The sequence below is a fragment of the Homo sapiens genome, chromosome 14, assembly GCF_000001405.40.
Source record: "Homo sapiens chromosome 14, GRCh38.p14 Primary Assembly".
Lineage (NCBI taxonomy): Eukaryota > Metazoa > Chordata > Mammalia > Primates > Hominidae > Homo > Homo sapiens.
The window spans coordinates 26,570,750-26,598,102 of NC_000014.9; the positions used below are offsets into that span (position 1 = coordinate 26,570,750).

The 27,353-nt window shown below is 32.8% G+C and overlaps 1 protein-coding gene across 12 annotated transcripts in view; it reads right to left on the reverse strand.

The window, feature by feature from the left end:
• NOVA1 (NOVA alternative splicing regulator 1) overlaps nt 1–27,284 on the reverse strand; it is a 154,944-nt gene extending 127,660 nt beyond the window's left edge. For 5 of the 12 annotated variants that reach the window (NM_006489.3, NM_002515.3, NM_001366390.2 and 2 more), the window contains exons 1-2: nt 26,552–27,284; nt 24,661–24,804 (exon numbers count right to left, since the gene is read on the reverse strand). In NM_006489.3, coding sequence (NP_006480.2) covers nt 24,661–24,804; nt 26,552–26,687 — 280 coding nt within the window. In that variant the 5' untranslated portion in view covers nt 26,688–27,284. Of the gene's footprint in view, nt 1–24,660; nt 24,805–25,148; nt 25,349–25,823; nt 26,334–26,551 lie in introns of those variants that run through there. The other 7 variants (NM_001366394.2, NM_001366393.2, NM_001366395.2 and 4 more) reach the window with 3 other exon arrangements.
• Nucleotides 27,285–27,353: the final 69 nt, after the last annotated feature.

Here is a 27,353-nt window from a genome sequence, read left to right on the forward strand (position 1 = left end):
CTGCTATAATACTGTAATATGCTGAAGCAGAATCTTCCATAAATTTTATATTACACAGATAATTCACCCCTAATAAAGTATTCCAAACCAACCTTTACTCTATTAAGTTTAAGGTATATCTGTTATATTTCCCTTTGTTTAATTTTCCAAAATTCTATGAAATGTTTCTTTCATATATTATAAATAGGTCTAAGAAAAGTATTTTTTCTCGTTTAACCCACTGTTCACATACATGCACAGCTGCAAGAATCACAAAGTCTGTTCTCTCTTTACTATGAATCCACAGACTTCACTTACAAAGGCTGGTGAAGAGCAATAATTGGTGATGTGTTACTTTGGTTTACAGGTTAAATAATATGGATTAAAATATTTTGAATTAAATAATATGGATTAAAATATATATATATATATGATGTTTAATGACACTTTTCCTGTTACCTAGGATTTAGAAACTAGGACCCAGAAAAGAGAAAAAGGAGGAATTAAGTGTCCTCACGTTCTAAAAAGAACTGAAAAAAAATTGAGGCCAGCCAGTCTCTTTTGGAAGTATTCCTCCCCTAAGGTGCTGCAAGCCAAGAGCATGATTCCTATATACTGAGAGTACTCACGAGAAGATACTATCTTTTCACTCTGGCTTAAATTAATACTTAGATATCAGACTTAACGATGTTCTCTGTTCCTAAGTGGGCAGAAAAAACAATAAAGAGAAATAACAGGAAAAACACATGACATGACAATGACGCAGTTACCTCTAGCACCATATGATATGAGTCACATGGGCCTACCTTAAAAAAGATGTCCACAAGAGCGAGGAGGCTCCAGCAACCCCAGGAAACTGTCTACCCACGTGGCTAGAACACAGAGGGCCTACAACAGAGTTAACTAAGAATATCTCACATCAGGTTTTAACTGTGTAGTAGAAGACCTCAGCAGAGTCCATCACAGATGTAAAGCATGCAACCTATGAGAGAGCTACCATTTGGACAACTGTCACATAGAAGAAGGCATTAATGGCCAGTGTAAATCACAGAGGCATCAAAACTCAATAGAATATTATTACAAGCCTAGTTAAGTAAAAAGAAAGTTTTGCCCATTTCCTTCTATCTGGTCCCTAAACCTAGAATCAGAATTGGGGGAGGAGAGAGACATCTTAGAAATCATCTATACAACCCTACTTAAATATAAATAAAGAAGGTGAAAGCATAGACTACAACAGCTTCCAAGTTTCAAGTTCTTAGGCCCCAAAGCCTGACTATTGCTGAGATGGGGAACAGCTTTAAATTAGATATGAGATTCATATATCATATTACCCTGTACTAAAGGTTTGTTTTTGTTTAATAATCAAAATGAATGGGATGTTATGAAATACACCACAATATTATTCTCTGCTACTCTGGTAGAGTCTATATAAAGTACAGTTGTAAGTGAAACAACCCACCTTAGGGAAAACATCAAGAACATAAAGGGGAAGATTAATTCAAGGTACATGTTGTGAGTAAAACAGACAAGAATTGGCAACAATTATAGAATAAACAGAGAATAGAAAAGGGAACAAGATCAAAATTAACCAATTTTTCCAGTTTGGATAACTTGAAAATCACTGGTGCCAATAAATAAAACAGGAAACACAGAGAAAGGCAAGTTTATAAATTTAAGAGAATACATTTTTTGACACTGAGTTATTTATCTACTCGATTATTCATATACGCAGTACATACAGATTGAGCATCTACTATGTGGAAGACCCTATAAAAGTATTAAGGGTACAATGTCAATAAAGGTGACATGGTCTTCATCATTTTTGTAGCACTTATAGTCTAGTGAGCTAGAAAAGATTTGTAATTACAAGAAGCATTAAAAATATAGGATGTGTCACAAGAACAAAGGAAGGGTCCCTCAACCAGATTGAGGTGATCAGCAAAGACTTCCTGGATGATCATATAAGCTGAAACCTCAGCCTTATATAAGGAACCGCAGTGTGTGTGTGTGTGTGTGTGTGTGTGTGTGTGTGTGTGTATGTGTGTCTGTACGTTTAAAAAAATAATACAGATACATAACCAAATACCTGTGGAAGAAGTAACATGCCAAATTATGTGAACATATTATGTGTACTTTTAGGGTAAGGTAATTTACAGAAAGACTTTATGTAAGGTATAAACAATCACATTTATTTTGAAATACATTAAATATAATAAAGTGTACATAAAACAAAAGATCAAAACAGTTTTGAGCTGAACATATGACTTAAGCATGATCTACATAAAGGGAGTAATTAAAGCTAAAGGGATCTACGGGGCCAAGGACAGAATCGAATGTAACCCTAACATTTACGTGATGATTTCAAGAAACAAAAGAAATCCATAAAAATGTCTGAGATAGTACAGTTAGAGAAATAATGAGAGAAACTGGATCATACAATGTCAAATAAGCCAATGGAGGAAGAATAGTTACTAATATTGAATGCTTTAGAAAATTAAAAGAGGATGATGGTTACATGACTGAAAAAGATAGTTCAGTTAATTAAGCAACTAATAAAGATACCATGAACTCTGAAAGAGTTGGATAACCAGGAGTAATAAAATGCTGAGAAAAAAAGAAACTCAGTAGACTACCCTTTCAAAAAATTTTGTTGGTATGTAAAAGGGAGAGAAAGTGACCACAGGTATTACCAGAATTAAAGAAAGGATTTAGCTTTTGGTAATTTTGTATAAAATAAGAACTGAACATATTATAAAGCCAAAGAGAAAGATCTCATGAAAAAATTTAAAAGATCCAAAAGAATGAGATAAGAATCTGAAAAAGATAAAGGGGGGCATGATAAATGATTCCTAAAAAGAATAGAGAATTCTCATTCTATATATGTAGACAAGGATTAAAGGTGAAATTAAATTATAATTTGAAGTATAAAAGGAAGTTGAGGGAGGTCCTTAAAGATGACCTAAATAAACTGTGAAGCAAGTACATTTACAGAGTATAAATCTGTTGGGGTGAGTTTCTGGGTTGAAAAAGATGAAAAAAGTTTAAAGAGGCACAAAATGTAAAGCTAATCAGAAATAAACAAAAGGATAACAGCAACAGAGCTGGCTCAACTGAAAAGATATGTTAGACTGAGTAGCAGAATCAACTGGCCTGATTTCAGTCTTTATCTAAGGATGCTCAGCAACCCCACAGCAAAAGTACACAAAGTGCAAGACAATAAAAACATAAGGCTGAGCCACATGAGATCTTACATTTTATCTTCAATACTAACAGCTCAAGAAAGCAAAGATTACACTTTTTTTTTTTTTTTTTTTTGAGACAGAGTCTCCCTCTGTCACCCAGGCTGGAGTGCAGTGGCACAATCTCAGCTCACTGCAACCTCTGCCAACTGGGCTCAAGCGATTCTCCTGCCTCAGCATCCCAAGCAGCTGGGATTACAGGCACCTGTTACCACGCCTGGCTAATTTTTGTATTTTCAGTAGAGACGGGGTTTCACCATCTTGGCCAGGCTGGTCTTGAACTCCTGACCTCGTGATCCACCCCCCCCCCCCCGCCCCCTCGGCCTCCCAAAGTGCTGGGATTACAGGCGTGAGCCACCACGCCCAGCCAAGATTACACATTTTTAAAGATTCTCAGAAATAGAAACGAGTATCATAAAATTGGGAAAAATAATAAAATTATTAGTGTATATTGTAAAGCATTCACTGCTACCTTGGAAATGTCATTCATACTTAATTTAAAATAACTTAATTCTGTTAATTTCCCCATATATCCTTCTCTCCCATGACGTCTTAATGTAAAACAGTATTTTATTAACAAATAGCTTTAGGTTTCCGCTTTAAATAGAGGGGCATAAATGAGTGGTTACTTAAAATTAAAGTGTTATCATAAAACTTTAATTTCAAATGTTTTAAGTTAATGGACTACTCATTCATATTGTCTCCCTCCACCCTTTTTGTTTGTTTTAGAGATAGGGTCTTGCTCCGTCGGTGAGATCACGCTCACTGCACCCTTAACACCTGGGCTCATGTGATCATCCTATGACAGTCTCCAGAGTAGCTAGGAATACAGGCTCACACCACTATGCCCACTAATTTAAAAAAATTTTTTTTTTGTAGAGACAGAGTCTCACTCTGTTGCCCAGGCTGGTCTGAAACTCCTGGTCTCCCACAATCCTCCTGCCTCTCAGCCTCCCAAAGTGCTGGGATTACAGGCGTGAGCCACTGAGCCCAGCCTATACTGTCTTTTTATGTTGAAAAAATCATATTGTGGGATATCTTCTAGGTAAATTATAAGTAAATAATTCTCTTAAAACTGCAAACACGTACTACTGTTTAGGAGTTTTGACATCAATATAGGTTTTAACATGTAATAACTGCAGATTTAGACAGTCCTTTTAAAATGTATGTAATTCAATTTAAGATAAATAAAAGTTCAAATTGCTTGACACTGACTAAACGTCCATTCATAATCTAGCCCAATGTGATGAACTTTATAAACAAGAATTGGGGAAAGTACTTTCAAAGAAATTTTTTACTTCATAATACAATGTGGTGAAAAGGAGCTTGCAGTGAGATAAATCTACACAAAATCTGTCTCTATCAGTTATGTGAAAATATAATATAGATATTTCCAAAATAATACATAAGAAAGCTTTTAGCAAACCCACATCATCTTCCATAAGTCAACACTAAGGGATGATTTAAGAAATAACTATGTAATTAATAACCACGAAAAATAAAATGTTTTAAGTCACAGATTTTAAGCTTTAATATTGAGCCATATACTTAAATTTTAATGTTAAAAATGAAATCAAAAGCATACACAAGTTCTTGTCCTTATAATCCAGGAAGCCACAACTACTACAGTTTTCCTTTTTCACAACAGTGATTAAACAAATCTCCTCTACTTTATCACATATATCAACAAGCCTACAGATTTATTTTGTCTTATTCTGGCAGAACATTTACAGAGATTAAATATCATTTACCAGTAAGACATAGTGATAAAATGCATGATTAGAAAAAAAGTCAAAATTGTTATTATATAATTATTTCAAATATTTTATTAAATCTATAACAACTCATTTTTTCTGCTTATGTGGAAAATAAGATAAATGTTTTTAATAATTGAGTACAGAATGAAAAAAACATTAAGTAGTACAGTTAAGCCTAAGAGATTTAAATTAAAACAGATAAATGAACTCTATCAACCAGAATAATTTTTATGGAGACTAAAATGAGGAAACTCGCAGCTGACAGGCATAAATGTACAGTATCTCAAAATATTTTACAGGCAAATATTGACCATTTTGATAATACATTTTTAGGTATATAATTTCCTTAAGGTATAATCCTCAAATAGATGAATTATTGATTTAGCACAATATTCTAAATGGTTCAATATATACTTATCATCTACAATGTGTGTGTATATATATATATACCACCTGATATGGTATACATTTTAAGCTAACTGTGTCTTCTAAGAATGATAGATTTTATTTTTATATAATCTGATGAACAGGTATTATTCAGAACTTTCTTACTCCTCTTGCTTCCTTTTTTATTACTGTATATACTTAAGGTGTAAAACATGATGTTTTGATACGCATATACATAGTGAAATGATTATAAATGAACTCTATCAACCAGAATAATTTTTACGGATACTAAAATGAGGAAACTCCCAGCTGACAGGCATAAATGTACAGTATCTCAAAATATTTTACAGGCAAATATTGACCATTTTGATAATACATTTTTAAGTATATAATTTCCTTAAGGTATAATCCTCAAATAGATGAATTATTGATTTAGCACAATATTCTAAATGGTTCAATATATATTTATCATTCACAATGTGTGTGTCTGTGTGTGTGTATATATATATACACATACCACCTGATAAGGTATACATTTTAAGCTAACTGTGTCTTCTAACAATGATAGATTTTATTTTTATATAATCTAATGAACAGGTATTATTCAGAACTTTCTTACTCCTCTTGCCTCCTTTTTTTATTATTGTATATACTTAAGGTGTAAAACATGATGTTTTGATACGCATATACATAGTGAAATGATTACTACAGTCAGATAAATTATCTATCACTTTCCACAGCTACTTTTTTGGTGTGATAAGAGCATGTAAAATCTACTCTCTTAGTACATTTTAGTATACAACACAATATTAACTATATCCTCATATTGTACATTAGATCTCTAGACTTATTCATACTACATAGCTGCATGTTTGTACCTTTTGACCTACTCTTCCCATTTCCCCTCCCCACCCTGGTAACCACTATTCTATTCTCCATTTCTAGGTATTCTACATTTTTCTAGATTCCACATACAAATAAGGTCACACAGTACCTATCTATCTGTGTCTGGCTTATTTCATTTGGCATAATATACTCCAGATGCATTCATACTATTGCAAACGTCAGCACTGTATCTCCTTTTTTAAGGTTAAATAACATTCCATGATACATATTCATGCTTATTCTTTAAAACTCAATTCCCCTAGGTATAAAAATAATTATGCTACTATAATGGATATATCGATACTGATATTTCTTAAATATAAATTTCCTACAGGGTTCCCTATAACACAAAATTAAACATGAATCTAGATTTCCCAGTGAATTATCTTTGAAATTGTAAATAGTTTGTGAGCTTAGTCTGGTCAACCAAGTAACTAAGACAGGCTACTTTTTTTTGTCATTCACCAGAGTTTTAATACTGAATTCACAGCCAACCATATCTTTATGTTAATTCTTTACCTGCCTACACATAGCAGAGTGCATTTCTGTAACATTTACTTTTGTTTCTGTTATCTTCTTTTGGCTTGAATATATGGCTTTCCTTTAAGGCAAGTATCTTAAATATAATCAGAATTGTGACAGATTGGATCTGAAGTTCAACAGAAAGAGAGAAGGTAAAGATGACTCAAATATTTCTGTCCTCAGACCCTGAAAAGATGAAGCTGCAATTAAGATGGAGAAGACTGAGAGAAGTTGATCTGAGGGGGTCAAGAGAAAGATCAGAATATTTAAAATCATATTTAATTCTAACATACATATTAGACATAGAAGTGATATAAAGCAGGCAGCTGCATCATCAGTGTAGAGTTCAGATGAAAGGTCCACAATGGACACAAACATTTGGTAGTCATCAAAGAACAGATGGTTATTTAAATCCATGATACTGGATTGGATCACCAAGGGAGTAACCACGGACAGAAAAAAAGAAGTCCAAGGAAATGAGAAAAAAAAAAACAGCAAAAGAAATATACGGCTGCAACCAATGAGATAAAGGTGTACCAGAAGCAAAATGAAATGTTTCAAAAAGGAGACAGTGATCACTGTGTCAAATGCTGCTGATGGTTATATAAAAAGGAGGACTGAGAACTGACCACTGAATAAAAAGTATAGAAGCTACCAGTGACTTTAACATGAGTAGTTTCAGTGAAAGGTTGGGTCAAAGTCCTAATTGGAATAGCTTCAAAAGAGAAATGAAAAGAGAGGAAATGGAGATAGCACAAGTATGGGCAACAAATTTGAAGAATTTTACCGTTAATGCCATAATTACCAGAACAGGAAGTGGGATAAAAAGAAACACACTTTTTTTTTTTAAGTGGGAGAAAGAACAGTGTATTTGTAGGTAAAAATAATTTCCAGTAGGGCAAGAACTTGATACTGCAGGAAAGTGGAGAAAGAATTGCTAAATGATATCTAAGTAGGTAAGATGGAATGGAATGGAATATAGAAAAAAAGTAGAGGTAGGCCTTTGCTAGGCACATAGTTTAACAAAATAGTAAAAGTATTCAGATACTCATATACTTAGGTAGGTAGATCTGGTGGTAGGAGCTTATGAAATTTTTAGAATTCTCTCAGTGAAATAGAAAATAAGATCATCAAGGAAGATCATGAAAGAGCTTTCAGAATTGGGACTTAATATCATCATATATTGTGTAGCTTTAATTCCAAAGAAAAGTAAAAAATATTACAAATGAGAAGGAAATCTGGGTTAATGTCAGAGTTCACACTCAAAACCACACCCTAATATTAATAAAGACAGTGATAACCTTTAGTCATCCCTAATACAGACTAACACAGATTCATCGTCTATACACTGACAACATATAATTTAACCCTCACTCCAATCAGACTTCACTGTCATCATCTCTACAGATTTTAAAGATGTAAGAATAAATCCATTACCATAAAGATGAAGTCTATTTAATCATTCTGGAATTAAATGGTCTTTAACAAAGTTTCTCAGTTTCTTTATTTTTTTTTTTCCATAGCAGGTGGTATTCTTTTTTTTTTTTTTTTTTTTTTTGAGACAGAGTCTCACTCTGTTGCCAGGCTGGAGTGCAGTGGAGTGATCTTGGCTCACTGGAACCTCCGCCTCCCAGGTTCAAGTGACTCTCCCGCCTCAGCCTCCCGAGTAGGTGGGACTACAGGCGCGCGCCATCAAGCCCAGCCAATTTTTGTATTTTAAGTAGAGACGGGGTTTCACCGTGTTGGCCAGGATGGTCCCAATCTGTTGACCTCGTGATCTGCCTGCCTCGGCCTCCCAAATGCTGGGATTGCAGGCATGAGCCATGGTGCCCAGCCATCGTATTCTTATATATTCAAAGGTGTACCCTTCCAAATATAAAACTGAATTTACACTATTACAAATACAAAGATTTTATTTCTTCCACAAAGCAATCTAAGAATCAGTATAATCTTATTAAATTTATTGTCCTCCAGGTCACAGTCACGCAAAACAAAAATCATACTTACAGTTAGTTGATCTTGCAATAGTATTACATGAAACTTAAAATATTTAGTATGTAAGTAATATTTAATTTACTATATGAAGTATCTGAATACAGAATTAAGTTTATACAATAATTAAGACAAAATACAAACAAATCATAAAAAACAATTTTAGCGTAATGGCAATCAAGAATATGTGTAATGACTCATGGAAAATACTTGCTAAGGAATGGAAAGGAATAAAAAAAGTGGCCTCTGAAAGATACGTTTAGTAGAATTACACTACTAAAATTTCTTAGATCCTTTATGGAGGCTGCAAGAACATGAGTTAAAATATTTAAGACCTTGACAGAGCCAATATCTTAAAACTTAAAAAAATTAAATTACTTTTATTTACTTATTTTTTCATAAATAATTATACTGCAAAATTAAATTATTTTTAGAGATGGGGTCTCACTATATTGCCCAGGCTATTCCCAAACTCCTGGGTTCAAGCAATTCTACCATCTCAGCCTCCCAAGTAGCTGAGATGAAAGGTGTGCACCACTGCACTGCACCAGCTAAAAAAATCTTACTAACAGCAAAAAAAAAAGCTTTAAAATAAGCCTTATGAATTATCATCTATATTATTAAACATTTAGCTTCATCATTTAATGCATTATGACTTTCATTTTTGCTAGTAGGAAAAAAAATTCAGAAGTCTTAGTATCCTGAAAAAGATCATGAAAGACAATATTAAATATTCTATATGCCACCTGATTTATTCCTGTTAAATCCCAATTAAGACTCTAATCAATGATTTTTAATGTTTTGTATTTGCATATACAAGGATGAAGACAGAGGCTAATTAAGTTAATTTTAATGAGTTATAAAACAAATAAATCCATATGTTTCACATGAGATTATTATAATTTGCTTTAATATTACAAATTCACATGCCTAGTTTTCTTCTCCACTATATAGGCAAAAACATAAACAAATAAAAAAAGCTCTGCATATCTTCAGGGGTATTATAGAACACTTATTTAGGCTATGCAACAAAAATACCCACAAAGCTGAGACTGGAAAGACACCTTACAGTATTTAGAAGCTCCATAAACCCATTAATCAACATAGGTGGTTTGCGGAAAACTCATTCTTATCTATAAAAACGATGATCACTTATAATTACCACTAAAAACAATAACTGCTATTTTAAAATAGAATGTTTAAAAATATATAAGAAATTATTTATATTAATTATCTTAAAGGTGTGGGATGAGGATAGGTCAGAGCTTTGGCATTCTATCACCTGCATTTTTACAACAATTATGAAAAAAACACTTCAATTGTTAAAAATCCTTATATAAATGTTGTCCTTTTTAGGGCCACATTAATGTAATTTATTCTACATTAAAATCTCTGCTATAAATTTAGTATTATTAAATGAAACAAGCATAGAAAGGAGGTGAAAAATGATAGGGTCATAATAAGCTTATTATACACCAAATATTTATTATGTGACATGCTTTTACAGTTTTCCTTTTTAGTACCTAAAGTTATAATTATGAAAGAGGTACAGATACTACATTACGCAGATAAAAAACTGGAGGTACAAGAAGATTAAATGACTGATTAAAATAGTACACCTAGTAAGTGGCAGAGCTGGGATTCAAACTCTGGTCTGACACCACATGTTCTCTAGAAGTCTTGTATTCGTCGTACTTCCACAGAGGCGTTAAGAAGTACTGAACTGATGTGATAATTGCTTAATAAACTACATTGTATAATATCCATTGCATATTTTCCTCATAAAATTTTTTATTAAACTGAGTACTATATCACAGTGATCTGACCAGAGTTTTCTAACCTTAAATCTATAATTCAACAAATCTTGAAAGTAGACATTATATATAATTTAAAAAGTGAGAAACAAAATCTTACAGGGCCAAATGAAGGCAATTGAATCATTTCATGTAAACAATCTCAAAGTTTACATTTCATGTAAGCAATTTCAAACTATCTTAATGACCTAATGTCAATATGAAAATAGGAAAATAGAAAGATATCAAGGTTCTATATATATACACAAGTCTGGTCAGCTGAAAAAATAACTTTTGTATGTTTCCATGTTGCTTAGTTATTACTATTTTCCTTTCAATGGCAAAATTTTTGTAGGATTTACATATGAATTGGAAAAAAATGTATAACCTATCAGAAATATTATCTCCCAGTGATGGGCAAATGTGGCAGTTTGATAAATCTTACTTAAATTTTGAATACTCCATTTCTGAACTCAAATTTATACACAATTTGATGCAAATACAAAATAACAGAATGCTGTTACACAATAACAGAAAATAAACAGGTTCATTATTAACTTGACATATCACAAATAATTTTACCTTTCACTATCTTATATTCTTCATCTGTAAAATGAAGACAAAAACTTCTACCTACACTGATGTTTTAAGAATTAAAATCCTATAGAAATGTAAGGTCTCATTAAGCCATAACTGATCAACAAGTAACTTTTAGTTGTATAGTCTAAAGAATTTAAAAACAACACAATCCCATTTTCTATTAACTGTGATAGAGTCAGTTTAAATGAAAACATAATGAAATTCAGAGTCTGGCTTTTTAAAACACAGAAATTGCAAAAGATATAGAATTCAGATAACTGTTAGTTGAAACATTTCCCAAACCCGAAATTGTACTTATTCTGCATATTTTAAGTAGTCAAAAAATGTTTACATTCTTTACTTATACCTTAAATTTAAATTATCTAAATTATCCTCATTGCAATGCAGTATCTACTTATTTTTAACGCAATCTCCTGACTGATTTGAAGGTGCTTCAGTAAAACCCTTGGATAAAAGCATAATTTTAAAAATAAAAAATGAATATTATGTCCATGAGAACTGGAATATGAATTTAAAGTTGAGCATTCTGTCATAAAAGAACATTATTTATTGCAGTTTGCTTTTTAATGGCTTCACTGCCAAGACTCCATAGAACCTCAAAGCTTTTCCTATGCACTTTTTTCTAAAAATAAAAATATTGTGAACAATTCTCAATTATGTACTTTACTAAACCATTGCTGGCAATACTAAATATGTTAGCATTATTATTCCTTAACAAAATATACATAATTACTATTTACATTTATAAACCTATCAAACTATATATGTTTTTTACTTCTCACTAATCTTGACAAACTTCAGATAATAAGTCAATCAGCCAGATAGATCTTATGCAGATAATTTCAATAGTAAAAAGATTTTTACAGAAATTAAAAAACAGGTTTTGAGTAAAGAGTCCATCAGACTTATAAGCCCAGCAGCAGGAGACTATATCATAAAAGTAGCAGCCTTCCACTGTAAAATTACTAATCCTAGTAATACAGTACATTAAACATGCCATTTCAGATATATGCCAACCTAAAGTGCCACATATGGCATATCTAGCTCATTATCACAGTTTGGGTGTTCGTATGCAGAGACATTCTAGTTTTTAAACAAGATGTCAAATACACCAGCATAGCTGAAAGTGTGATAAAGCTTTGAGAGGAACATACCTTTCCTTAAACAGAATAGGTATACGCTTCAGAACAATTAGTTTAAAATACTACTGTAAAGAAAGCATGGTTTCAAATTTTCAGTTGAGAAGATAAGCTAAAATACAAAATAGAATATCATTTTAAAGGCAGAAACAGTAAAATATGTTAAATTCAAATAAATATTATTTGGAAATAATTCAAAATTTCTTCAAAATTTTTCTCAAAAAGAATTGAATTTGACCTGCAAAAAAACATGTATGCAACTCTTAGCTAGATTATTTCTCACTTTATAAACAAATCATGAAATCATACCATAATACAGATATCAATTTTAAGGAAATGGGACTTTTCTTATGCTTCCTTTTTTATATTGAATTCAACCTTGAGTTACACAACTGGTATTACTGAATTATGAATAGCACTTAAATAAAGATTACACAGTGAATATTTTTATTTTAAATCCCCATCTGTTGCTTAATGTCACTTCAGCTGTTCAATTTTTTAATGTTTCTCTACACAAGTAGCCAATAATTGCACAAATCAGTATAAAATGCAAGATAGATTTTTAATCTCATTTTCTAAATGAAAAAACAGTATCATATTTTTCAGACTTTTAAAAATTCATCTGAATTTGATAAGGGTATTAATTAAGATTGATTCTTATGTGAAATACTTATAAATGATGAAAAATCCCGCTTTATCTCAATAATCAACAAAAATTCAAGCAAAAAAATTACATAACAGAGAATCCACTAATAAATAGTAAGTTTTAATTTTCACTGACATAGCTTAACAATGTTTTGACAATATACCTAACTTTAGCGTTTGAACAGCATCAAATTCACACACACACACACACACACACACACACACACACACACATATATTGTATAAATCACTCATGTTTATCCAATTAAAAATAAGTATATATTTTCATATGCTAAGAAAGCAAGAAAGGCCTACATATTGAATGAATTTAAGAAACAAGAAACATTTCTTCTTGTATATGATCTGAACTGCTATGAATCAAAAGCAAATTAGTTAAAGATCTTCCCCACATATAGCAAAACATTCTTCATAGAAATCTGTCATTCACTAACTGTCCTCCACCTTTTTTTTCTTCCATACTTGGCACATAACTGGTTAAACACAACTCACATTTCTTAACATCTCTTTTCTGTATTTCTAGTTGCCCCATCTTTCCCTTTGCCTTTTCCTTTCTAAGTAAATTGGGTCTTTATAAAATTCTATTTCTATTTCCTAAGCAGAAAGCCAGAATCCAATCGTATACTCAATTATACTTTTGAACAACTGGGCAATCCATCCGCCAGACTATAAGTGTCACTATATTTACATAAATATATATTTTTTAATTACAGTACCACTGTCAGTCATTTTACAGACACACAGCAGATGTAGATTTAAAAAATATTCTTGCTAACGAATATATCTAGGAAGAATATTTTTCAGCCAGTCTTTTCTTCTTTTTCATATGCACTAGATTGTCTCTTACCTGTACAGATATCTATAGTGCCTCCTACCACCACTGACCCCCACACCAACAGCAATATCCACTTTTTATCCAATCAATACCAAACTACTTTTAGACCCCTGAATATAACAGAATTTTTGCACATCTTTATGTCTATATATGCCTTAAATGACTTTCCACTTTTGTTCACCAAGCAAATTAAAATTCAGTCCCCAAAACCCTGTCAGCTCCTCTTCGAAGTCTTCTTCGAAATCTAACCCCTCCTCCCAAGACTCTGACACTAACAGAGATAATTTCAACTTCTAGATATAATTCTCCATTATACAGTTATCAAACTTGTAACCTGGTATCCATCTAAGATTTTAGGGCATTGTATACTTAGTTCTAACCCCAACAAAGCCCACTAATGTTCATAATACTTAAAATCCGTGGCAAAGAAGGGCACGGGGAAACAGACAAGAAACACTATGATATGGTTATTTTAACCCACTGTTCTCCATTACTTTTTAAAATATAAATAAAATTTACAAAAATGTGGAAGACTAATCACAAGGCATGAAAGAGTGCTATCTATTAAATCTTAGATGTTTCACTGGTTTACTATGATAAAAATCAAACAATGTATTAATACAAGAAAAACACTCTTATTTCATGTATCTCTTTAAATTGCATATATTTACAAAGTATGTAAAGACTCCGAAATATCCCAAACTCAATATCTTCCCTAAAATTTTAATTTCAAATAAAGTAACATACTAATACCTTGATATTTAAGTTAGTCAAACTATAAGCAAATAAGTTCCACTCTACTATACAGCTGGTATTTTTTATTTTTCTTGGCACATTAGAAAAGTAAATTGTCCAGTTTCTCAATGTAACAATGTAACCTCCCCCAACAAAGTCACATGTTAACTTCCCCACTATAGTTGGGGAAGAAGATATTAAAATATATTATAAACAAAACACTTAGTAAGCATACTTCTAATATATCACTTTAATTTGATGGTTAGTACTCAAGAAAAATCATGATTGGTCTTTTTCCTTACTGAACATATGGCCATGTGGCCATAAATAAACTACAATGTGATACAGCTATAAAATCTTGTAATATATATATACTTTTAATATACTTTATTAATAACTAATTCTTAAACTCATATTGCTTAAGTTATTTTAAAGGTGGTCTTCATTTCAGAGGTGGCTTTAACATACTCTCCATAATATTGGATTTCAGTTTCTTTCACACAGGATAGCATGCTAAACAGAACGCAAAATTCCCGTCATACTCCACTGTACCTAGCCAATACCTACCCTAACACTTCTATGCATTTCTTGTTCATTTAAATTTCTAAATTCATTATTAAAGTAAACTAGAAGTGTAATGAAAAACTAAAGATGGACTGCCTTCTATATCCACTGTATTGGTATTCCATGAGCACTTCACAGAAGAAATCTCAAATGGTTCATTCAGTCATTCATTCATACATTCATTTAAATTTCCAGTGCCACCTATGATTAAACAATTGCGCTGTATGTTAAACACACAGCAGGCAAGAAGGATGCCATAAATTCCCCCACATCAGTGGACCTTAATCCAATTACTCAACTGATGTGAGTAAAGACTATCACAAAAGAGTTTTTGTTTTAATTTAACACTGTAGAAGGAAAAGTCTTCAAAATCACATTAAGTACTTTTATGATTATATTAGAACATAGTCCTTAAGCCTATAACACAATGAAAATAGTATCAGAATTCTAATTAACTGAGTAGACCAATTTAATGAAATGAATAGCCAAAAAGGAGAAAACAGTGATGTTTTCAAATTAATAATTACTGGACAATACAGCTACATTTTTACTACGTTGCCTTACAATTAGCCTCATGCTTATTTTTTAATCATGGTATTTATCTGTTGAACCAAATGTTATGAATATTCACCCAAATACACTATACTTACAGGAGTTTTTATAAAAGTCATAAAAACATGAAAAATACATATATTATTAAAATAATTCTTGAAAACAAAATTTAACTTAGCCTACTTTTTTAATAAGTCAATACTCTAACCAAAAATTAAAATGTAGAAGTATAGCTAAGGAATGATGAAAGCAAGAAAGAAAAAAAGTACAAATGAAGAAAAATAACAATGCTGCAGAAATCTAATCACCATAAAAACACTGCCACTTTCAAACAGTATAATTAAGGAAAGAGAGAAAATGACCAGGCTACATGCTCCAGGCAATATAACCTATGATATCCTTTTCTAAAAGAAATTTGTTAATGACCAAAGAGCATCCTGCCTATGTTCCTTCAGTGTAGCACATGAACTAAAATAATAATAATAATGGCAAAATAACCACTGGGCCATCATCTCAGTTTTTTTTTTTTTTTTAAAGAACATATATTCATTTTAAGACTAGGAGAGAGAGGAGGTAAGGACTTACTTCCTCAGAGTCACATCCAGAAGGGAGGGAAAAAAAAAGTAGAACAAAACAAGAGAATGAAGTACCTACCACAATTGCACCACAAATTCAGAAAACACATTTCAAAGCTACAGGACAATTACTGGCATTAGAGAAACCTTACGTAAATCACTTAATCTCTTGGTACCTTGGTTTTCTCAACTGTTAAATGAAAGTTTTAGAAGAGATCATCTGAACTTCATCACTTTGATCTATTTCCACAACTCTATGATTTCTCCAAATCTTTTAAATAAAAAGTCTCTTAGCTATTCCTAAGTGTTGTCCTAAATCTTTAACAGGGATCTAAAATATATAAAAAAAAAAAAAAACAAAAATCTAAGGAGAAAAGAGCAAAGCAAAATTTCTCAGGGTAAAGCAAAGTATGCCTATATTCCTCGAATGGAGAAAAGATACATTGTAATAATTCTAAGTAATGATTACCAAATAGCTGCCTACACCAGCGTTTACAGGAAGCATCTGATAAATATGCATAATAATTAACAAGAGACAGCTTCCAGGCAGACTTCACACTTAAGAATGAAACCAAGTTTCAAAAAAAATTACCTTCACCACTTTTTAAAGAAATCATCATCATAGAAAAATAAAAACATGGGTTATCCAAAGAATAATTAAGGACTAAGTATGTGAATGAGCTCTACCAGTAAGAGCTTACTTACCTCCAACACTAACCACTTCAAAACCAGGTATTTCAAGAATTAATATGACCAAAATTAAAAAGCTACAGTTCTTCTAAAATATTTAGCAACATAAAAAGAAAACAAAAACATGTTTTTTTTTAAAATAGTAGGTACCCTATTACCTACTATTCTGTGTTACTGAAATGCACTACTATTGGTTCTATTCTGCCCTTCCCCCCTAGATTAGATCTTAAAACACAGTCTCAGTCCAGTGTATTTTCTACAGCAGCAAATTATTAACAATTTAAATGAAGACAATCTTCTTTAAAATCAGAATGATTTTTTAGAACTAAGTAAACTAAGTAAACTTCTGTCATATCCTAGAAGAAATGCAGGATTTGAAATCTTTTTAATTAACAAACTTCTCTGAAAACTTACACTGTGAGTAAAATTATGGAGCCATGAGAGTATAACTATTCTCAAACATCTTTAAAATGAACTGAAAAGTTCTTCCACAGAACTTCGAAATGTATGCTCAGTTTCACAAGGAAGGTAAAAAAAAAAACACTACCATCTAAAATTTTTAAATTATTGAGTCTGCAATACAGTTTATCAGAAATTAGAAATATATTGAACATCAGTAAGACATAAAATAGGTCTTGAAATAAAAAAGAAAAATATAACATCAATTTTAAATATAACCTATTGAATAAAATTCATTGAAAAATGGACAAAAATGTTTTATTTTCCACACCAAATAATCTTACCTTAATCATTTTGCTGTTAAAAACCTCAAGACATTAATTTCATTTTTCATCTCTTCCTGTCAACAATGCTATGACAGGCCCTGCAGGAAGCAGCAAAGAATCAATGATGGAGTGGAGATAGTAGGTGTTTTCATGATCAAGATTTGGATATCCATACAGTGGTGTGAAACTTGGAAAATACTGAAAATATCTCAAAAAGTTGATCAGTGTAAATAATTATCTTTTTTACTTTGCAGTCTTAAAATGTTTGTTCTTATTCAATGTCTTATTAAACAAAAATTTAAAAATCACGGTAAAAGTATATATGTGAAATTTTAAAGTATTTTTATATTGATAAGAATTGATTAAAAATAGTCAATCATGTCAAAAGAGAATAAAATAATTTATGTTTTAAAGTACTGGAATGAATCTCTTGACCTCTAGATAGCATAGCTTTAATCTTATTTCTTTTAACAGCTATAATTACCAATAAATTCCAACTATTCATAATTAAAGTAAAAATTATTTTCTTCTCAAGCAGTATCTTCAGTATGAAACAGTTATTACCAATACTGGTAAATATTCCTTCAGGAAAAATACATAGTTTACAAAACAAAAAAATAGAAAAAAAACCTGTGCAAACTCCAAAACTTAACTACTCTTTGGTAAATAATAAATTATATTCAATGGATACCAAAAAATTCAGATTAGTAAATTTAATAGAAAATTCAAAGCTATAAAACTGCTTTACAAAGACTTCAAATGGTTTTTACATTCCAAATTATTTTAAGATAGTACAGACTTTGCCAGATTTCGTTTAAATGTATTTTTACCTTTGAATATATTGTCTATTTAAGGGCTGATTAATGAACAGGACTGTGATAACATATCTGTATTCACTGGGAATACTATTAGAACACACAAGAAACTTGTATATATGTCACAGACGCATACTCAAAGTCAATACTTCAAACAGATTGAGAAATTAAAAACAACAGAAATAAATGACACAGTAATTTTTTGAGATTTTGACTAAATTTTAATTTACTTGTAATTAAATGTGGGAAACATTTCAGTAAAATTAAGTTCAAAATCTTAAAAATATTTTTAATATGCTACACCTGTCCTGTTTGTTGGAACACTTCAAACTACTCTGCAAAGTGTACTTGCCAAAGCCATCAATATTCTAAAAAGATACAACTTAAATTTTATAATGTTTTAACTTCCTATGAAAAATAAATGTTAATCTGAGATAATATTTTAAGAAGAACTACCAAGTACTTCCACTTATTTCCACTCACTCATGTTTTACATATGTACTGGTGGCATAGTGAAATGTAAATGCTTCTCACTTAAGGTTATTTTTTTGTTATTTCTATACCTAAAGACCCTATCCTTGTTTTATGTACATTCTATCAGTTTCATGAAAAATCAATGTAGTTGAAAATATTTCCATATTAAAGACGTAGGAAAGCTGATGCCATATCTTTAAAGAATAAAATGAAGAATATGGAAATTTCATCAACCCAAGCATCAGAAAGTATTGAAAAGCACTACTTCATTCCTTGCATGTTGCGTTTTATACCATGACACTTCAGTCTCTGAGGGTCAGGTTAATTAAGCTCCATAGCAGCTGCAGTGCAATGTGAGATACACACTGTTGCAGTTCCCACCAGTCCAGTCCAATTACCTGTAGTATTCCAGTACTGAACAAGTGACAACTAACCTCTTCTCTCTAGTCACTTGCTCCCACTGGTCTACTGATAAATGTTAAAACAAACTAACCTCTTTTTGGAAAAGACTGCAAAGCTGAATGCACCTGCTGCAGGCTGCAATGATGAGTCCCAGAGAGATGTTTGTCAGTCAGATCTCTGCAGATGTTGTTTAACTTTATGCTAAAGCAGTATCCAAAGATGGAAATGAGATGGCAATCAAGCACAAATCTCCCACCTTCGTCCCCCCAGTTTTATTTTGAAAAGCAGAACTTACTCATAAAAGTTGTGTTTTAAAATATAGCTCCACTGAACTGGACAAAACTGAGACTCCACAGTTAAAAATTCTATGGTCAAAAATATTTATTAGGTGCTGAAATTTAGTTAACAAGTAGCATAATATGTAGTCAATAAATGTCATTTGTGTCAGTTAATAATTTTTTAAAAAATTAATTCTCTGAAGCCAGAGCAAAAAACTCCCAAACAATACAACATAAAATACATAAGTTTTTCACTGATGGTTGTCAGTCAGGTTTTTAGTGATATCACATACTCCTTAGCATTTTCAAGACACAGATCATTTTTCCTCTTGCTGTATGAAACATCTTCAATACATAAGTATTGAACTATATCACCAACATGTTTAAACTATTCCTGAAATCCTTTGGGGTAGTATTTGCAAGGCAATGTTGTAGATATATTTCATTACAGTGACACAAATTTTAAATGAGCTGTTTTTCCAAAGCCCAGAAAGCATCAAAAAGCAAATTTCAAAGTAGCATTATGTATATGATTCATGAAAACACCAACACTATAAATTAATGATGTCTTATAACTTACTCTGTCAACATCAAAATGATACAAAAAGGAATCAAATAAAATGTACAGCTAAAATTTTTAGTGCTAATTCATCTTTCTAAAAACCCCACAAAACATCTGCATACACAAGATACGAATAAAATTGTATCTTTTGGAAACTGTAATGTTAATACAGATTGCGCTATGCCAGTAATGTTCCTTCATATGTTAAGATTTCCTATTGCTTAAAGTAAGAAAATAAAGTATTAAAAAAAATTAAACCAAAATACAGCAAATTTTCAGAGATACTAATGTTTAAGTAAAAGATTATGTTTCTCCTTCAACTGTAGATATAGAGATAAAAGATAAAAGTAACCCTAACAATAGGTAGTGTGTCAAATAAACATTACAACTTTAAGATTCAAGGAAAAACACTTTGTGTCAGCAACTCTTTGATAACACTAAAATCCAAAGTATAACCTAGTGTAATGATAACTATCCTATTAAACCCACCCAACAATGTTGGAAATTATACCATTTTATTTTCTGTACTTGTTACAGTTCTATTTATCACTAATTTTGCCTTAAAATATATATTCCAACAAATGTCCAATATTCTTTGCATCTAAGATCAAAGTACAGACTGCAACTTTTAGAAGCTGTAAGAGATTCACATTCATATGTACTACCAATATCATAATACTCTTCCTTCAATGATGTAAACAGAAATAATGTTTTAAATTCATTATCTCCTCTGATTTGCAAAAAATTATCATAATTATACAATTCCAGTTCTAAAGTTTAATTTGGCCACTATATTTTCCCCTTTTCAAAATAAAAGCAATGTTGGGTCTTTCCTTCCCTACAAAAAAATTTCACTTACATTCTGCTCTTTTATGATTTAAAAAAATGTATAATGGTTTGTGTTTTTTTTAAAAAAGCACCACCCAATTTGGAAAGTAAGAAAAATTGAAATATAATGAATGTACAAATAATAATTTCAAATTTTAAATTAAGAACCATAAAAGGAAATATTTTTATTAAATGTGATACTAGTTTTATAATGACAAATATTAAAACAGTGTAAAATAGACAGATTCCAACACTATAATGAAGGATTCTGTTTGACTGATGTAACGAATACCATATAATAGAATAAAAATAAGTATACTATGATATGTTCTAAAATCTAAGGAATACACGAAAATATTTATTGCATACATCCGTTATCATTTCCAACCAATAATGCATGCAGTAAGCTTTTCGGATTACCTACCTGAACCATCCATTAAATAATTTTTACAGATAAAACCAATATGATTATTAACAAAAACTAAACATATCCTTATGCCAAATAAAAGAATAAAAATAAACTATCGTCACTCTGAAAAGGCATACAATAATATATTCCTCAAACCAAGAAAGCTGTTTTTTACTACAAGGTAACTTGCTATAACCTAGTTATAAAAAGATATATAAGTAAATCAAATTGGCTTGCTCTAATCATGTAAGAAAAAAAAAAAGGTATATTCCTAAACCACCAGAATTAAGTCAGTACTCTGTAAGATTTGATTTTGTAAAACAGATAAATGGATTACGTAGTACAGCAAAAATGATCTACTTGTAGATCATTTTATCTGATTGCAGTAATTGAAGAATACATTTTACAATTCCTCATCACACAATTTTCTCAAGTTTGTTATTTAATACACGACATTGAAAAATGCAATGCAATATCCAGCTGTACAAATTCTCAATTAGTGTACAAAAATGTTTTTTCATTTCAACCATAATTTTAAAAATTACTCATAAAGGCAGGGTTGCTTAAGATATTTTCAAAAGAAATAAGAAAAACAAATAAGCATACAAGGAAATTATATTGGCTATAATTTCTTTAAAGTACCTATCGTTTGAGTTAAAATGTATTAAAATGTCCCGAGTGTGTCTGTATTCTGTGTTACACATCCTGAAGAAAGTTTCCGAAAACACACTAGTATTTTAACTAAACCTTACAAACACAATTACATTCTGCTTAAAAACTTGGGTAATTTGAGAAAATCCATTAGGTTATACAACTAAAGTAGACTTTTCCCCAAATATGCTCTTACCAAATGAGAAACAGAAAAGGGGCTTCATGAAATAAACATTAGGCATATTTGTTCCAGTAGATTATGACAGTCATAAATATACATATATATAGCTTTAAGAACTTCATATATGTATGAAAGACACAAAAACGGGCTTCCAAATGATTTCATTAATCCTCTAAGAAATTCTTTATAACTTGATGATATGATCACAGTTTATAATTTAGCTCATCTGAGATGTACAAGGTAAGTGTCCCTTACGTACATCTGAGTAAGAGAAACTGAAAAGCGCTCAGAGGCTATGTTGAAGAATACCGGGATCTTAAAATTATTCTGAAGACTTGTGGTCAAGTGCGAAGAGAAAGACTATTAAAATTAATGTCTATCTGAAGCAAAGAGATTATCTGTCCAAACAGGTAATAATCCAGTTAAAATTGTATTTTAATACAAACTGTTCAGAATTCTTTAAGCTTCTTATAAACTACGAGGCTTTATTTTATCCTTAAAATTGATCCCATACTGTGTGATTGGTTTCCACCTGTTACCGGTAAAGTATAGACTTCTTTTATCCAACATTTCAACTCACATTTGATCAGGTTACGTCACCACACACACAAAATTTTATTCAACGCATTCCAGCTTTCCATTTTTTTCCAACAGATATTCTTGCTCTATACAAATAACATGCCTCAGAACTATAAATAAAATAATCAATTTCAATGTAATAAGCAAAAAATGTACAACTAAGTGGACTAAAAACAAAAGATCTAATTCTCAGTGCACCCTTTCCAACCCACTGAAAATAAACTATATTCAAATGAAAAGGCATTTAATTTACTATTTGGAATATCCTTGATAAACACCAATTTTCTGTAACATCCCTGCACATCTGATACCACCTCATGTATAATGCAAAAAAGCTATTTCATTTTCATCTATTGACAGTGAATTTAATTTACCATTGCAGCTCTTTTCCTAGAACTATCACGTTATTAATTCTGCAATCAAGCTCTTTTGAGTGCTTTTATTTGTACTAAGGGTTTTCACAATTCCACATTGATTTTTTTTATCATAATATACCTTTTAAACATATGAATGTGAATATGTTAGCAAACTTTCTTAATGCATAAGGAAAGTTTCAGAGACAAGGAAAGCCATCTGCAAAACTACACTCATAGGAAACAAACTTTAGAGGAACATCGTGTCTAATATATTACTTTTTAGTTTAATAAGTTTAATGTTTACAAAAAATACTACATTTAATTTGTAAAACTAAATGATAGTTTCAACCATTCTAAAACCTTCTTATCCAGTATAATGGTCCATTTCTAATACCAAGTGATTGGCTATGAAAAAGAAGTCCTCCAAATGTTCTGCTTACATTCATGCCAGATGTCTTTGCTGTATTAAAGAACTCTTACTGAATTAGATCACTGAAAGCAAATCAGCTTTTCTTTTCCACCAGGAAGAAAAAAATTAAAGCAGTATTGGTTCCCTCAGCACTGAATTAACGTTTTTGACAGCCATAAAGATAAAATAACCTTTAAAAAAATCACAGAAAGCTAGATTTAAATAAAAGCAAATCAGCTGATAATGTTTTATCTAGGAAATGTACTACTCAATTACAGAGACTTTTCCCTTAAACCTAAAATACATATAGTGATTAGCAAAATGTAAGAAAAAAATAGAAAAAGATGGACATGCAGAACTATTTAACACTTAAAAAGGCATACTTGAAAGTGAAAAACAAAAAATTTATACCACCAAGGAAACTTCCCATATTCCAGTAGGTTACTGTACTACACTGTCAACATATTTAATCAAATTTAGCTCTTAAGTTAACATGAATTCTGAAGCATTATTTTACTTCTTGCATAACAGTATAAATTTCCTTATATCAATTGCATTAAAACTGCAATATTTAAAAAATCTGAAGAGGCAACACTTGTCCTCTTTACTTCACTCCAAGGCCAACAAACAAAGCAATGAAGCAGAAAGAGGTACATAATGGATTCAGAAGTAAATGGTCCATTCTTTAAGAAGCCTCCCTACCCCCCTCTTCTGAATTCACTCTAAGCTAATTGTCATTACAATGATGTCTGAAAACTTCAGAAGAACCCTATTTCCTGATGCCAGCTGTCCAGGTTTCTATCTTTAAATTTTTGAGTTTTTTTGCTAATAAGAATTATTCAGAAATACCCGAATCATCTTGCAACTGGTCTAATTCACATACACGGTACAACAATTATAGGAAAAAGGCATAATCAACAATAGAAATAATCTGAAAATTTTTCCACAATATATTCCTATAAAGCAATATCTAAATAAAGTCTCCAGTATTGTTTAAAAATTCTTTCAAGACAGCACACAACACAAGTAGATCTTTCTTTCCTGTGGGGAGCTCATCAAACAATCTCTTCACCATTGCACCTACCTGGGTAAAAATCTTTGGACTTAGACAGCTTGATGGTGGCTCCAGTTTCTTTTTGCAACTGAACAATTGTCTGTCCTCCCTTCCCAATTATAGATCCAGCAGCATAACTAGGTATGAGAACCTTTAGAAAATACTGGCCGTCTTCTGAAAAATGCAAAGAAATATACTCGGTTAACACAGTATTTCAAACTTTGTATCCCCTCTCCACCCTCAAGAGAGAAAAACAGCAACTAAAGCACTGGGTATATAACTGCAGGAAATATGAAGTTAAACATTTTTTGAGAATGAAAATAAGCCAATTACATTGAAAAACAAACAGGTACAAAATGTTTCCCATTTTATAGGATTTATACTTTCAAGCTTGGAATTAAAATATAAACATATTCTATTATTTTGCAGCACTGTAAAAACTGATGACTAAATTCCAGTTGTTATTCCAAACATGGAAATCTTCCAATTCTATCTGTGGCAAAATGAAATGAACTGACCCTTTAACAAAACTTCAGAGGTTTATAAGATGACAAACCTTCACTTAACATATTAAAAAAGAAGAAAAGCCCAGGACTGTAAATAGTGATGAGCTATATTTATTTGTCATTAGCAGACACATAAGGACTACAATTAGCCATTGCCTATATCCTACTTAAAGTCCGCAAAACAACCATTCTCCTACCAAATAATCCACCCAAACTGTGGGGTGTATTCCAAGTCTTCAATAACTGCCAGGAAATAACTCAGTGTGGTGGACTGGCAAATCTAACTAATCCTAGTGCATTTCTTTAGCACTTCTTAGTCTACCGTGATCTCGTTTAAGCTCATTAATTAAAGGACCTTAAGAAGAATTCTGCCAATACTAAAAAGCTTAGGAGTCATTTATATTAAATAGGCTTAAAAGTGACAAAACAGGTAATGTTCCTTTCCCAAAATAATCACAACTTTTAAAACGGAAAGGGGGTGGAAGAACCAGGAAAAATAAAATGAAACGTTTTAGAAAATTAAGCCAACTCCACAAACTTTAATTTCCGTCAACTTGATCACATCTTATACAGGAGACACCCCGGTAAATCCAGCTTTCTTAATGTGAATGAATGTTCCAAATGTTGTGGTGTGCCACTCAAAAGACCCCCATCCGTCTACAATGCATATGCTGGAGATAAATTCACCTCTGCTTCGATGCATTGGGTGCATTGTTAAGATGATTCCAGTGCAAATGAAGAAGCGATATCGGTCCCGTTAAAACTCATCTTCCAAGGAAGCGCAGGATGTTAACTAACAAGTCACCGTTCCAGACACCCCCACCCTCGTATGCACCCCCCTGAAGACAAATCAATGAAATATTTGCACCGACAATCTAAGTGCGGTAAGGGCATGCACTCATCAAGATTTTGCATACTACTTGTGGCCCAAAGCAAGAGGATGGAGAGAGGAAAAACTCTCCGGCGCCCCAGTCATTCGCAATCCGCTACCCAAGTGCCATTTATTTATTTATTTTATCAGACTGTTAAACGCAGCGCGCATCTTCGGGCGGCCATCACCTCACTCCGGGGTCATCCTCCTCCTCCTCCTGAATGGACCTTCTTGCCCAGGTCTAGGATATTTACATGGTCAACCTCTGGACCGATTAAATGGAAAGATAGGTCTATTCCGAAAAACTGGTCGCCATTTTGATGAATGATAAACACAGAAATGGAAATGTGTCGGGGACACCTAGGCGCGGGGCAGGTGCAGGGGAGGGGGCGCGGGGCAGGGGCGCAGGGGCCGCCGGGTTCGGGCTGGAGGTGTCCGGGCCGCGGGAGGGAGGGAGGGAAGGAGGGAGGGAGGACGGCGAGGGAGGGAGGCAGGGGCGGGCGGCGGGGGATGGGGCCAGCGGGGAGGTGGAAGCGATACCCACCGCCCGTATTGGTCCTCTTGGTGCTGCCGGCTTCAGGGGGGGCTTCCAGCGGCCTTTTCCGCGAGTCCGGCGGGTCCAGGTCTATGGGAACCCCAGTGTGGGTCCCGTTCTGCTGGATGGGAGCTGCCGCCATCATGTTTGCAGTTCCTGCCGCTGCTACCGGGAGAAGGTTCTCCCTTTTGTTTTGGCTTTTTCTTTTCTTTTTTCTTTTTTTTTTTTTTTTTTTTTTGCGTTTGGGGTTTCTTAAGGTTTTTTTTTTTTAATCGGATCAATATAAATCTCTTTAGGAAAAAAAGCAATGTTGCTGGTTTGTTCTCACTGGGGAGGGGGCAGGGCTGAGGAGCAGCTGCAGTGCAGTGTCAGAAAGGAGACAGGGGAATGGAGGGGGTGTGAGAGACGGAGGGTGAAAGAAGAAGAAGAAAGGAGACAGGGGGAGAGAGTGGAGAAGGGAGAGGGGCGAGTGAATGAGCGGGAGGAGGGGACCGGGGAGGACAGGCAGAGGGAGTGGGAGAGCGCGAGGGCTGGCGGGGCGCGGGGAGAAGCCGAGGAGGAGGGGAGAGTGAGGGAAAGAGTGAATGAGCAGGAGGAGGGGAAGGAGGTGGATGCCGAGAGAGGAGCGAGCGGCAGAGGAGGGCAGGAGCCGGGAAGGAGCGCGGCGGTCCCCGCGCCGCGCTAGCGTTGCGCTCGCTCCCGCTGCTGGTGCTGCCGCCGCCGCCGCTGCCGGAGCGGTTCTGCCGTTGCCTGGGCTGCTCGGCGCTGCTGCTGCTGCCGCCCGGTCTCGCTCATTATTTCTCCCGCTTGT